General features: G+C 38.8%; 1 protein-coding gene across 1 annotated transcript in view, besides 1 other annotated feature; it reads left to right on the top strand.

The window, feature by feature from the left end:
* Positions 1 to 14,423, top strand: part of LOC105373146 (uncharacterized) — a 74,604-nt gene that overhangs the window by 28,560 nt on the left and 31,621 nt on the right. The gene's annotated exons all lie outside the window — the stretch shown is intronic.
* Positions 5,569 to 6,068: an enhancer, noted in NCBI's record as "H3K4me1 hESC enhancer chrX:21357913-21358412 (GRCh37/hg19 assembly coordinates)". NCBI's record gives its function as "activates a minimal SCP1, AML or CMV promoter by ChIP-STARR-seq in naive H9 embryonic stem cells {active_cell/tissue: H9 hESC(naive)}" and the evidence as "EXISTENCE:reporter gene assay evidence [ECO:0000049][PMID:30033119]".

Genomic DNA, 14,423 nt, shown 5'->3' with positions numbered 1-14,423 from the left:
ATCATTTTACTATCTCCATGAGTTCAATTGTTTTCATTTTTTGCTCAAACAAATTTTTGAGAACTTGTGAAGTTTGTCTTCCTGTGCCTGCCTTATTTCACTTAACATAATGTGGTCCAGTTCCGTTCATGTTTTTTTTTTAAATTTTATTATTATTATACTTTAAGTTTTAGGGTACATGTGCACAATGTGCAGGTTAGTTACATATGTATACATGTGCCATGCTGGTGTGCTGCAACCATTAACTCGTCATTTAGCATTAGGTATCTCTCCTAATGCTATCCCTCCCCCCACCCCCGCCCCATAACAGTCCCCAGAGTGTGATGTTCCCCTTCCTGTGTCCATGTGTTCTCATTGTTCAATTCCCACCTATGAGTGAAAATATGCGGTGTTTGGTTTTTTGTTCTTGTGATAGTTTACTGAGAATGATGATTTCCAATTTCATCCATGTCCCTACAAAGGACATGAACTCATCATTTTTTATGTCTGCATAGTATTCCATAGTGTATATGTGCCACATTTTCTTAATCCAGTCTATCATTGTTGGACATTTGGGTTGGGTACAAGTCTTTGCTATTGTGAATAGTGCTGCAATAAACATACGTGTGCATGTGTCTTTATAGCAGCATGATTTATAATCCTTTGGGTATATACCCAGTAATGGGATGGCTGGGTCAAATGGAATTTCTAGTTCTAGATCCCTGAGGAATCACCACACTGTCTTCCACAATGGTTGAACTAGTTTACACTCCCACCAACAGTGTAAAAATGTTCATATTTCTCCACATCCTCTCCAGCACCTGTTGTTTCCTGACTTTTTAATGATTGCCATTCTAACTGGTGTGAGATGGTATCTCATTGTGGTTTTGATTTGCATTTCTCTGATGGCCAGTGATGGTGAGCATTTTTTCATGTGTCTTTTGGTTGCATAAATGTCTTCTTTTGAGAAGTGTCTGTTCATGTCCTTTGCCCACTTTTTGATGGGGTTATTTGTTTTTTTCTTGTAAATTTGTTTGAGTTCATTGTAGATTCTGGATATTAGCCCTTTGTCAGATGAGTAGGTTGCGAAAATTTTCTCCCATTTTGTAGGTTGCCTGTTCACTCTGATGGTAGTTTCTTTTGCTGTGCAGAAGCTCTTTAGTTTAATTAGATCCCATTTGTCAATTTTGGCTTTTGTTGCTATTGCTTTTGGTGTTTTAGACATGAAGTCCTTTCCCATGCCTATGTCCTGAATGGTAATGCCTAGGTTTTCTTCTAGGGTTTTTATGGTTTTAGGTCTAATGTTTAAGTCTTTAATCCATCTTGAATCAATTTTTGTATAAGGTGTAAGGAAGGGATCCAGTTTCAGCTTTCTCCATATGGCTAGCCAGTTTTCCCAGCACCATTTATTAAATAGGGAATCCTTTCCCCATTGCTTGTTTTTCTCAGGTTTGTCAAAGATCAGATAGTTGTAGATATGCAGCATTATTTCTGAGGGCTCTGTTCTGTTCCATTGATCTATATCTCTGTTTTGGTACCAGTACCATGCTGTTTTGGTTACTGTAGCCTTGTAGTATAGTTTGAAGTCAGGTAGCGTGATACCTCCAGCTTTGTTCTTTTGGCTTAGGATTGACTTGGCGATGCGGGCTCTTTTTTGGTTCCATATGAACTTTAGTTTTTTCCAATTCTGTGAAGAAAGTCATTGGTAGCTTGATGGGGATGGCATTGAATCTATAAATTACCTTGGGCAGTATGGCCATTTTCACGATATTGATTCTTCCTACCCATGAGCATGGAATGTTCTTCCATTTATTTGTATCCTCTTTTATTTCTTTGAGCAGTGGTTTGTAGTTCTCCTTGAAGAGGTCCTTCACGTCCCTTGTAAGTTGGATTCCTAGGTATTTTATTCTCTTTAAAGCAATTGTGAATGGGAGTTCACTCATGATTTGGCTCTCTGTTTGTCTGTTATTGGTGTATAAGAATGCTTGTGATTTTTGTACATTGATTTTGTATCCTGAGACTTTGCTGAAGTTGCTTATCAGCTTAAGGAGATTTTGGGCTGAGACAATGGGGTTTTCTAGATCTACAATCATGTCATCTGCAAACAGGGACAATTTGACTTCCTCTTTTCCTAATCGAATACCCTTTATTTCCTTCTCCTGCCTGATTGTCCTGGCCAGAACTTCCAACACTATGTTGAATAGGAGTGGTGAGAGAGGGCATCCCTGTCTTGTGCCAGTTTTCAAAGAGAATGCTTCCAGTTTTTGCCCATTCAGTTTGATATTGGCTGTGGGTTTGTCATAGATAGCTCTTATTATTTTGAGATACGTCCCGTCAATAGCTAATTTATTGAGAGTTTTTAGCATGAAGTGTTGTTGAATTTTGTCAAAGGTCTTTTCTGCATCTATCGAGATAATCATGTGGTTTTTGTCTTTGGTTCTGTTTATATGCTGAATTACATTTATTGATTTGCGTATATTGAACCAGCCTTGCATCCCAGGGATGAAGCCCACTTGATCATGGTGGATAAGCTTTTTGATGTTCTGCTGGATTCGGTTTGCTAGTATTTTATTGAGGATTTTTGCATCAATTTTCATCAAGGATATTGGTCTAAAATTCTCTTTTTTGGTTGTGTCTCTGCCTGGCTTTGGTATCAGGATGATGCTGGCCTCATAAAATGAGTTAGGGAGGAGTCCCTCTTTTTCTATTGATTGGAATAGTTTCAGAAGGAATGGTACCAGTTCCTCCTTGTACCTCTGGTAGAATTTGGCTGTGAATCCATCTGGTCCTGGACTCTTTTTGGTTGGTAAGCTATTGATTATTGCCACAATTTCAGAGCCTGTTATTGGTCTATTCAGAGATTCAACTTCATCCTGGTTTAGTCTTGGGAGGGTGTATGTGTCAAGGAATTTATCCATTTCTTCTAGATTTTCTAGTTTATTTGCGTAGAGGTGTTTGTAGTATTCTCTGATGGTAGTTTGTATTTCTGTGGGATCAGTGGTGATATCCCCTTTATCATTTTTTATTCCGTCTATTTGATTCTTCTCTCTTTTCTTCTTTATTACTCTTGCTAGCAGTCTATCAATTTTGTTGATCCTTTCAGAAAACCAGCTCCTGGATTCATTGATTTTTTGAAGGGTTTTTTGTGTCCTATTTCCTTCAGTTCTGCTCTGATTTTAGTTATTTCTTGCCTTCTGCTAGCTTTTGAATGTGTTTGCTCTTGCATTTCTAGTTCTTTTAATTGTGATGTTAGGGTGTCAATTTTGGATCTTTCCTGCTTTCTCTTGTGTGCATTTAGTGCTATATATTTCCCTTTACACACTGCTTTGAATGTGTCCCAGAGATTCTGGTATGTTGTGTCTTTGTTCTCATTGGTTTCAAAGAACATCTTTATTTCTGCCTTCATTTCGTTATGTACCCAGTAGTCATTCAGGAGCAGGTTGTTCAGTTTCCGTGTAGTTGAGCGGTTTTGAGTGAGTTTCTTAATCCTGAGTTCTAGTTTGATTGCACTGTGGTCTGAAAAACAGTTTGTTATAATTTCTGTTCTTTTACATTTGCTGAGAAGAGCTTTACTTCCAACCATGTGGTCAATTGTGGAATAGGTGTGGTGTGGTGCTGAAAAAAATGTATATTCTGTTGATTTGGGGTGGAGAGTTCTGTAGGTGTCTATTAGGTCCGCTTGGTGCAGAGCTGAGTTCAATTCCTGGGTATCCTTGTTAACTTTCTGTCTCGTTGATCTGTCTAATGTTGATAGTGGGATGTTAAAGTCTCCCATTATTATTGTGTGGGAGTCTAAGTCTCTTTGTAGGTCACTCAGGACTTGCTTTATGAATCTGGGTGCTCCTGTATTGGGTGCATATATATTTAGGATAGTTAGCTCTTCTTGTTGAATTGATCCCTTTACCATTATGTAATGGCCTTCTTTGTCTCTTTTGATCTTTGTTGGTTTAAAGTCTGTTTTATCAGAGACTAGGATTGCAACCCCTGCCTTTTTTGTTTTCCGTTTGCTGGGTAGATCTTCCTCCATCCTTTTATTTTGAGCCTATGTGTGTCTCTGCACATGAGATGGGTTTCCTGAATACAGCGCACTGATGGGTCTTGACTCTTTATCCAATTTGCCAGTCTGTGTCTTTTAATTGGAGCATTTAGTCCATTTACATTTAAAGTTAATATTGTTATGTGTGAATTTTATCCTGTCATTATGATGTTAGCTGGTTATTTTGCTCGTTAGTTGATGAAGTTTCTTCCTGGCCTCGATGATCTTTACAATTTGGCATGTTTTTGCAGTGGCTGGTACCGGTTGTTCCTTTCCATGTTTAGTGCTTCCTTCAGGAGCTCTTTTGGGGCAGGCCTGGTGGTGGCAAAATCTCTCAGCATTTGCTTGTCTGTAAAGTATTTTATTTCTCCTTCACTTATGAAGCTTAGTTTGGCTGGATATGAAATTCTGGGTGGAAAATTCTTTTCTTTAAGAATGTTGAATATTGGCCCCCACTCTCTTCTGGCTTGTAGAGTTCCTGCTGAGAGATCCACTGTTAGTCTGATGGGCTTCCCTTTGTGGGTAACCCGACCTTTCTCTCTGGCTGCCCTTAACATTTTTTCCTTCATTTCAACTTTGGTGAATCTGACAACTATGTGTCTTGGAGTTGCTCTTCTCGAGGAGTATCTTTGTGGCATTGTCTGTATTTCCTGAATCTGAATGTTGGCCTGCCTTGTTAGATTGGGGAAGTTCTCCTGAATAATATCCTGCAGAGTGTTTTCCAACTTGGTTCCATTCTCCCCGTCACTTTCAGGTACACCAATCAGACGTAGATTTGGTCTTTTCACATAGTCCCATATTTCTTGGAGGCTTTGTTCGTTTCTTTTTATTCTTTTTTCTCTAAACTTCCCTTCTCGCTTCATTTCATTCATTTGATCTTCAATCACTGATACCCTTTCTTCCAGTTGATGGCATCGGCTCCTGAGGCTTCTGCATTCTTCACGTAGTTCTCAAGCCTTGGCTTTCAGCTCCATCAACTCCTTTAAGCACTTCTCTGCATTGGTTATTCTAGTTACACATTTGTCTAAATTTTTTTCAAAGTTTTTAACTTCTTTGCCTTTGGTTTGAATTTCCTCCTGTAGCTCGGAGTAGTTTGATCGTCTGAAGCCTTCTTCTCTCAACTCGTCAAAGTCATTCTCCATCCAGCTTTGTTCAGTTGCTGGTGAGGAACTGCGTTCCTTTTGAGGAGGAGAGGTGCTCTGCTTTTTAGAGTTTCCAGTTTTTCTGCTCTGTTTTTTCTCCATCTTTGTGGTTTTATCTACTTTTGGTCTTTGATGCTGGTGATGTACAGATGGGTTTTTGGTGTGGATGTCCTTTCTGTTTGTTAGTTTTCCTTCTAACAGACAGGACCCTCAGCTGCAGGTCTGTTGGAGTTTGCTAGAGGTCCACTCCAGACCCCGTTTGCCTGGGTATCAGCAGCGGTGACTGCAGAACAGCATTTTTTCATGAACCGCGAATGCTGCTGTCTGATCATTCCTCTGGAAGTTTTGTCTCAGAGGAGTACCCGGCCATGTGAGGTGTCAGTCTACCCCTACTGGGGGGTGCCTCCCAGTTAGGCTGCTCGGGGGTGAGGGGTCAGGGACCCACTTGAGGAGGCAGTCTGCCCGTTCTCAGATCTCCAGCTGCGTGCTGGGAGAACCACTGCGAAAGCAGTGCCTCACAGGTAGGCTACTTGGGGGTCAGGGACCCACTTGAGGAGGCAGTCTGTCCGTTCTCAGATCTCGAGCTGCGTGCTGGGAGAACCACTACTCTCTTCAAAGCTGTCAGACAGGGACATTTAAGTCTGCAGAGGTTACTGCTGTCTTTTTGTTTGTCTGTGCCCTGCCCCCAGAGGTAGAGCCTACAGAGGCAGGCAGGCCTCTGTGAGCTGTGGTGGGCTCCACCCATTTCGAGGTTCCCGGCTGCTTTGTTTACCTAAGCAAGCCTGAGCAATGGTGGGCGCCCCTCCCCCAGCCTCGCTGCTGCCTTGCAGTTTGATCTCAGACTGCTGTGCTAGCAATCAGCGAGACTCCATGGGCGTAGAACCCTCCGAGCCAGGTGCAGGATATAATCTCCTGGTGCACCGTTTTTTAAGCCTGTCGGAAAAGTGCAGTATTAGGGTGGGAGTGACCCGATTTTCCAGGTGCCGTCTGTCACCCCTTTCTTTGACTGGGAAAGGGAACTCCCTGACCCCTTGCGCTTCCCGAGTGAGGCAATGCCTCGCCCTCCTTCCGCTCGCACACGGTGCGCTGCACCCACTGTCCTGCACCCACTGTCTGGCACTCCCTAGTGAGATGAACCTGGTACCTCAGATGGAAATGCAGAAATCACCCATCTTCTGCATCGCTCACGCTGGGAGCTGTAGATTGGAGCCATTCCTATTCGGGCGTCTTGGCTCCTCCCCCCGTCCATGTTTTTATAAATGACAGGATCTCATTCTTTTTTATGGCTGAATTGTATTCCATTGTGTATATGTACCACATTTTGTTTATTCATTTGTCTGTTTATGGACACTTAGGTTACTTCTAAATTTTGCCTATTGTGAATAGGGCTGCAATATACATAAGACGGCAGAGGTTGTTTCAATATATGGATTTCCTTTTTTTTGGGTATATACCTGGTAGTGGGATTATTGGATCATGTGGTAGCTCTATTTTTAGTTTTTGAGGAAACTCTATACTGTTTTCCATAGTGTCCATACTAATTTACATTCTCACCAATAGTGTGTATTGGTTGCCTTTTCTGATCATCCTCACTAGCATTTATTATTGCCTATGTTTTGGATAGTGTATTAGTTCATTTACACACTGCTGATAAAGACATACCCGAGACTGGGAAGAAAAAGAAGTTTAATTGGACTTACAGTTCCACTTAGCTCAGGAGTCCTCAGAATCATGGTGGGAGGTGAAAGACACATCTTACATCGTGGCAGCAAGAGAAAATAAGGAAGATGCAAAAGCGGAAACCCCTGATAAAACCATCAGAACTTGTGAGACTTGTTCACAACCACAAGAACAGTATGGGGGAAATCACCCCCATGATTCAAATTATTTCCCACCGGGTCCCTCCCATAACGTATGGGAATTATGGGAGTACAATTCAAGATGAGATTTGGGTGGGGACACAGAATCAAACCATATCAGATAAAAACCATTTTTACTAGGGTGAGATGACAACTCATTGTACATTTGATTTGCCTTTCTTTAATGATCAATAATTTTGCACACCTTTTCATATCCCTTTTTTCCATTTGTGTGTCTTCTTTTGAGAAGTGTATATTCAGATCTTTTGCTCATTTTTAGAATCATATTATTAGTTGAGTTTTTGATCTCCTAATGTATTCTGGTTATTAATCCCTTGTCAGATGGATACTTTCCAAACATTTTCTCCCATTCTCTGGGTTGTCTCTTCATTTTGTTTATTATTTCGTTTGCTGTGCAGAAGCTTTTTAACATGCTGTGATCCAATTTGTCCATTTTTGCTTTGACTACTTGGGCTTGTAGGGTATTACTCAAAAAATGTTTGCCTATCCAAACGTCGTAGAGAGTTTACCCAAAGTTTTCTTTGAGTTGTTTCATAATTTGGAGTCTTAGAATTAAGTCTTCAATCCATTTTGATTTGAATTTTGTACATGGCAAGAGATAGGGGTCTAGTTTCATTCTTCTGCATATGGATATCTATTTATTAAAGAGACTGTCTTTTCCCCAGTGTATGTCTTTGGCACTTTTGTCAAAAACGAGTTCACTGAAGATGTCTGAATTTAATTCTGGGTTGTCTATTTTGTTCCACTGGTCCATGTGTCTGTTTTTATGCCAGTACCGTGCTGTTTTGCTTACTATAGCTCTGTAGTATAATTTGAAGTTAGGTAATGTGATTCCTCCAGTTCAGTTCTTTTTGCTCTGGGTAGCTTTGGCTATTCAGTATCTTTTCTGGTTACTTATAAATTTTAGGATTTTTTCTATTTCTGTGAAGAATGTCATTGTTACTTTGATAGGGATTGCATTGACTCTACAGATTGCTTTGGGTAGTATAGACATTTTAACAATAGATTCTTTGAATACAGGAACATGGAATTTTTTTTATTTTTTGTGTCCTCTTCAATTTTTTGCATCAATGTTTTATAGTTTTAATTGTAGAAAATCTTTCACTGTTTTGCTTAATTCCTAGGTATTTAATTTTATCTGTAGTGTTTGTACCTGGAATTACATTCTTGATTTCTATTTAAGGTTGTTTGCTGTTGGCATATAGAAATGCTTCTGATTTTTGTAAGTTGATTTTGTATCCTGAAACTTTACTGAATTTGTTCATCAGTTCTAATCGTGTGTGTGTGTGTGTGTGTGTGTGTGTGTGTGTGTGTATGTGTGTGTGTGTAGACTTAGGTTTTTCCAAATATAAGATCATATCATCTGCAAACAAGGATAATTTGACTTCTTCCTTTCCAATTTGGATGCTGTTTCTTTTTTTCTCTTGTCTGATTGCTCTAGCTAGGGCTTCCAGTACTATGTGGAAAAACAGCCATAAAGTGAGTACTCTTGTCCTGTTCCAGATCTTGAAGGAAAAGCTTTCAATTTTTCAATATGATACTAGCTGTGGGTCTGTCATATATGGCTTTCTTCGTGTTAAGATATGTTTCTCCTACACCCAGTTTTCTGAGGGTTTTTTTTTTTCCATGAAGGGATACTGAATTTTATCAAAAGCTTTTTTCAGTATCATTTGAAATAACCAGAGGGGTTTTGCCCTTAATTCTGTTGATATGATGTTTCACATTGAGTGATTTGCATATGTAGAATCATTCTTTCATCCCAAGGGTAAATTCCACTTGGTCATGATAAATGATCTTTTTAATGTGTTTTTGAATTTGGTTTGCTAGTATTGTGTTGAGGATTTTTGTATCAATGTTCATCAGGGATGTTGGCCTGTAATTGTCTTTTTTTCATGTATCTTTGTTTGGTTTTAGTATCCATAAAACTGGCCTCATAGAATCACTTTGGAAATATTCCTTCCTTCTTTCTTTTTGTTAGGATTGTTTGCTTAGGATTAGCATTAATACTTTTTTAAATATTTGGTAGAATTCAGTGGTGAAGCCATTGGGTCTTGGGCTTTTCTTTACTGGGAGATGTTTTATCATGGCTTTGATCTCATCACTTATTGTTTTCCTTGGGTTTTTTATTTCTTCATGGTTCAATCTTGATAAATTTTATGTGTCTTGGAGTTTACCCATTTCTTCTAGGTTTTCCAATTTATTGGCATATGGTGGCTCATAGTAGTCACTAATGATCCTTTGAATTTCTGTGGTATTAGTTGTCCTGTCTCCTTTTTCTTTTTTTATTGTTTAAAAACTTTTATTTTAGGTTCAGGGCTATATGTGAAGGCTTGTTATATAGGTATATTCATTTCATGGAAGTTTGATGTGCAGATTGTTTTATCACCCAGGTACTAAGCCTAGTACCCAATATTTATTTTTTCTATTCTTCTCCCTCCTCCCACTCTCCACCCACTGGTAGGCCCCCAGTGGCTCTTTTTCCACTCGTTGTGTCCCTGTGTTCTCGTCATTTAGCTCCCACTTGTATGGGAGAACATGTAATATTTGGTTTTCTGTTTGTACATTAGTTCTCTAAGTATAATGGCTTCCAGCTTCATCCATGTTTCTGCAAAGGACATAATCTCATTCTTTTTTATGGCTGCATAGCATTTCATGGTATATATGTACCACATTTTTAAAATCCAGTCTTCCATTGATGGGCCTTTAGGTTGATCCCTTGTCTTTGCTATTGTGAATTGTGCTGCAGTGAACATCCCCATGCATGTGTCTTTGTGATGGAATGATTTATATTCCTTTGGGTATATACCCAGTAATGGGATTGTTGGGTTGAATGGTAGTTCTGTTTTGAGCTCTTTGATAAATTTTCACACTGCTTTCCACAATGGTTGAACTAATTTACACTTCCACCAACAGTTTATAAGTATTCTGTTTTCTCCACAACCTTGCCAGCATCTGTTAATTTTGACTTTTTAGTAATAGCCATTCTGACTGATGTGAATTGGTATTTCATTATGTTTCTGATTTGCATTTCTCTAATGATCAGTTATATTGAGCTTTTTCCATATGCTTGTTGGCTGCATCTGTGTCTTCTTTTGAAAAGTGTCTGTTCATATCATTTGTTCACTTTTTTATGTGGTTGTTTTTGTCTTGTAAATTTGTCTAAGTTCCTTATAGATGCTTGATATTAGACCTTTGTCAGATGTGTAGTGATACGGTTTGGCTCTCTGTCCCCACCCAAATCTCATGTTGAATTGTGATCCTGAGTGTTGGAGGTGGGGCCTGGTGAGAGGTGATTGGATTATGGTTCTAATGGTTTAACACCATCCCCCTAGGGCTGCAGGGTTTTTGTAGTTTCTCGTTTTACATTTAAGTCTTTAATCCATCTTGAGTTAATTTTTGTATGCAGTTAAAGATAGGGTTTCAGTTTAAATCTTCTGCATATGGCTACCACTCATCATGACACCATTTATTGAATAGGGAGTCTATCAGGGGAAATTCAGCCCCCGATATTTCAACATGGGTCCTTTTCTATTTTCCCTAAGTGTCGGCTGGTCTGAGAAATAAAGGGAAAGAGTACAAAGAGAGAAATTTTTAAAGCTGGTTGTCCAGGGGAGACATCAAATGTCGGCAGGTTCCGTGATGTCCCCCAAGCCGCAAAACCAGGAAGCTTTTATTAGTGATTTTCAAAAGGGGAAGGAGTGTACGAATAGGGTATGGGTCACAGAGATCACATGCTTCACAAGGTAATAAAATATCACAAGGCAAATGGAGGCAGGGCGAGATCACAGGACCGGGGTGAAATTAAAGTTGCTAATGAAGTTTCGGGCACGCATTGTCATTGATAACATCTTGTCAGGAGACAGGGTTTGAGAGCAGACAACCAGTCTGACCAACATTTATTAAGTGGGAATTTCCTCGTCCTAATAAGCCTGGGAGCGCTACGGGAGACTGGGGCTTATTTCATCCCTTACTCACAACCGTAAAAGACAGACGTTCCCAGAGCAGCCGTTTCAGAGGCCTACCCCTAGGAATGCACTCTCTTTCTCAGGGCTGTTCCTTGCTGAGAAAAAGAATTCAGCGATATTTCTCCTATTTGCTTTTGAAAGAAGAGAAATGTGGCTCTGTTCCACCCGGCCCACAGGCAGCCAGACTTTAAGGTTATCTCCCTGGTTCCCTGAATATCACTGTTATCCTGTTCTTTTTTCAAGGTGCCCAGATTTCATATTGTTTAAACAATTTGTGCAGTTAATGCAATCATCACAGGGTCCTGAGGTGACATTCATCCTCAGCTTACAAAGATGACGGGATTAAGAGATTAAAGACAGGCATAGGAAATCACAACAGTATTAATTGGGGAAGTGATAAATGTCCATTAAATCTTTACAATTTATATTCAGAGATTGTAGTAAAGACAGGTGTAAGAAATTATAAATGTATTAATTTGGGGAACTAATAAATGTCCATGAAATCTTCACAATTTATGTTCTTCTGCCATGGCTTCAGCTGGTCCCTCTGTTTGGGGCCCCTGACTTCCCGCAACAAGAGTCCTTTTCCCATTGCTCATTTTTGTTAGCCTTGTCAAAGATCAGATGGTTTTAGGTGTATGGCCTTATTTCTGGACTTTCTATTCTGTTCCATTGGTCTATGTGTCTGTTTTTGTACCAGTACCATGCTATTTTGATTACTGTAGTATAGTTTGAACTCAGGCATCATGATGCCTCCTGCTTTGTTCTTTTTGCTTAGGATTGTTCTGGGTATTCAGGCTCTTTTTTGGTTCCATAAGAGTTTTAAAATACTTTTTTCTAGATCTGTGAAGACTGTCATTGGTAGTCTGATAGGAATAGTATTGAATCTGTAAATAGCTTTCAGAAGTATGGCCATTTTAACAATATCGATTCTTTCTATCCCTGAGCATGGAATGTTTTTCCTTTTGTTTGTTTCATGTCTGATTTCTTTTGCAGTGTTTTGTAATTCTCCTTGTAGAGATTTTTCACCTCCCTGGTTAGCTGTATTCTAGGTATTTTATTCTTTTTATGGCAATTGTGAATGGGATTGCATTCCTGATTTGGTTCTCAGTTTGACTGTTGTTGTGTATAGGAATGCTAGTGATTTTTGTATACTGATTTTGTTTCCTGAAACCTTGCTGAAATTGTTCATAAGCTTAGAAAGCTTTTAGGCTGAGACTATGGGCTTTGCTAGATATAAAATGTCCTCTCCAAACAGGGATAATTTGACTTCCTCTGTTCCTATTTGGATGCCTTTTATTTCTTTCTCTTGATTGATTCCTCTGGTCAGGAAATCCAATATTATGTTGACTAGGAGTGGTGAGAGAGGGCATCTTTGTCTTGTGTTGGTTTTCAAGGGAAATGCTTCCAGATTTTACCCTTTCAGTATGATATTGGCTGTGGGTTTGTCATATATGGCTCTTATTATTTTGAGGTAAGTTCATTCAATACCTACTTTGTTGAGAGTTTTTAACATGAAGGGATGTTGAATTTTATCAAAGCCTTTTCTGTGTCTGTTGAGATAATCATGTAGTTTTTGTCTTTAGTTCTGTTTATCTCAGAAATCACATTTGTTGATTTGCATATGTTGAACCAATCTTGCATCCTGGGGATGAAGCCAACTTGATCATGGTGGATTAGCTTTTTGATTTGTTGCTGGGTTCAGTTTGTTAGTATTTTGTTGAGGATTTTTGCATTGATGTTTATCAAGGATATTGTCCTGAAGTTTTCTCTTTTTTTGTATCTCTGCCAGGTTTTGGTATCAGGATGATGCTGGCCTCATAGAATGAGTTAGTGGGGGAGTCTCTTCTCATTTTTTTTTTGGAATAGCTTCAGTAGAAATGGTACCAGCTCTTCTTTGTGTATCTGGTAGAATTTGGCTGTGAATTTTTCTGGTCTTGGACTTTTTTGGTTGGTAGGTTATTTATTATTGCCTCAATTACAGAATTTTTTATTGGTCTGTTCAGGGATTCAATTTCTTCCTGCTTCAGTCTTGGGAGGGTGTATGTGTCCAGGAATTTATCCATGTCTTTTAGATTTTCTAGTTTATGTGCATAGAAGTGTTCTTAATATTCTCTAGCTTGTGGTCTATCTATTTTGGTAAGTTTTTTTTTTTCAAAAAACCAGCTCCTGGCTTTGTTGCTCTTTTGAATGGCTTTTTATGTCTCGATCTCCTTCAGTTCGGCTCTGATTTTGGCTACTTTTTGTCTTCTGCTAGCTTTGGAGCTGGTTTGCTCTTGCTTCTCTGTTTTTTTTTTTTTTTTTTTTTTTTTTTGGTTGTGATGTTAGGTTGTTAATTTGAGATCTTTCTAAGTTTTTGATGTGGGAGTTTAGTGCTATAAATTTCCATCTTAACACTGCTTTTGCTGTGTCCAGAGATTCTTGTATGTTGTATCTTTGTTCTCACTAGTTTCAAATAACTTCTTGATTTCTGTCTTAATTTCACTTTCACCCAAAAGTCATTCAGGAGTAGGTTGTTTAATTTTTATGTAATTGTATGGCTTTGAGCAATTTTCTTCATCTTGAATTCTATTTTTATTGCAGTTTGGTCTGATAGAGTGGTTAGTATAATTTTAATTCTTTTGAATTTGCCCATGATTGTTTTACATCTAATTGTGTTTTTGATTTTAGATCATTTTTATGTGCACATGAGAAGAATGTATGTTATGTTGTTTTTGGATGGTGAGTTCTGTAGATGTTTATCAAATCCATTTGGTCCACTATTGAGTTCAGGTCCTGAATATATATTTTTTTCTGCCTTGATGATCTGTCTAAAACTGTCAGTGCGGTGTTGAATTCTCCCACTATTATTGCATGGGAGTCTAAGTCTCATGGAAGGTCTCTAAGAACTTGCTTTCTGAATCTGCATGCTCCTGTGTTGGGCACATATATGTTTAGGATAGTTAGTCTTCTCGTTCTATTAAACCCTTTACCTTTATGTAATGTCCTTAATTGCCTTTTTTTTATATTTGTTTGTTTAAAATTTGTGTTGTCCGAAATTAGGATAGCAACCCCTGTTTTATTGTTTTCTTTTTTTTTTTTTGTGGTGAAGGACATCTACACCAAAAACCCATCTGTACATCACCAGCATCAAAGACCAAAAGTAGATAAAACCACAAAGATGGAGAAAAAACAGAGCAGAAAAACTGGAAACTCTAAAAAGCAGAGCGCCTCTCCTCCTCCAAAGGAACGCAGTTCCTCACCAGCAACGGAACAAAGCTGGATGGAGAATGACTTCGACGAGTTGAGAGAAGAAGGCTTCAGACGATCAAACTACTCCGAGCTACAGGAGGAAATTCAAACCAAAGGCAAAGAAGTTGAAAACTTTGAAAAAAATTTAGAAGAATGTATAACTAGAATAACCAATACAGAGAAGTGCTTA

The sequence above is a fragment of the Homo sapiens genome, chromosome X (assembly GCF_000001405.40).
Source record: "Homo sapiens chromosome X, GRCh38.p14 Primary Assembly".
Classification (NCBI taxonomy): domain Eukaryota; kingdom Metazoa; phylum Chordata; class Mammalia; order Primates; family Hominidae; genus Homo; species Homo sapiens.
Note: the sequence above shows the minus strand (reverse complement) of the source record. Positions and strands in the feature narration are given on the sequence as shown.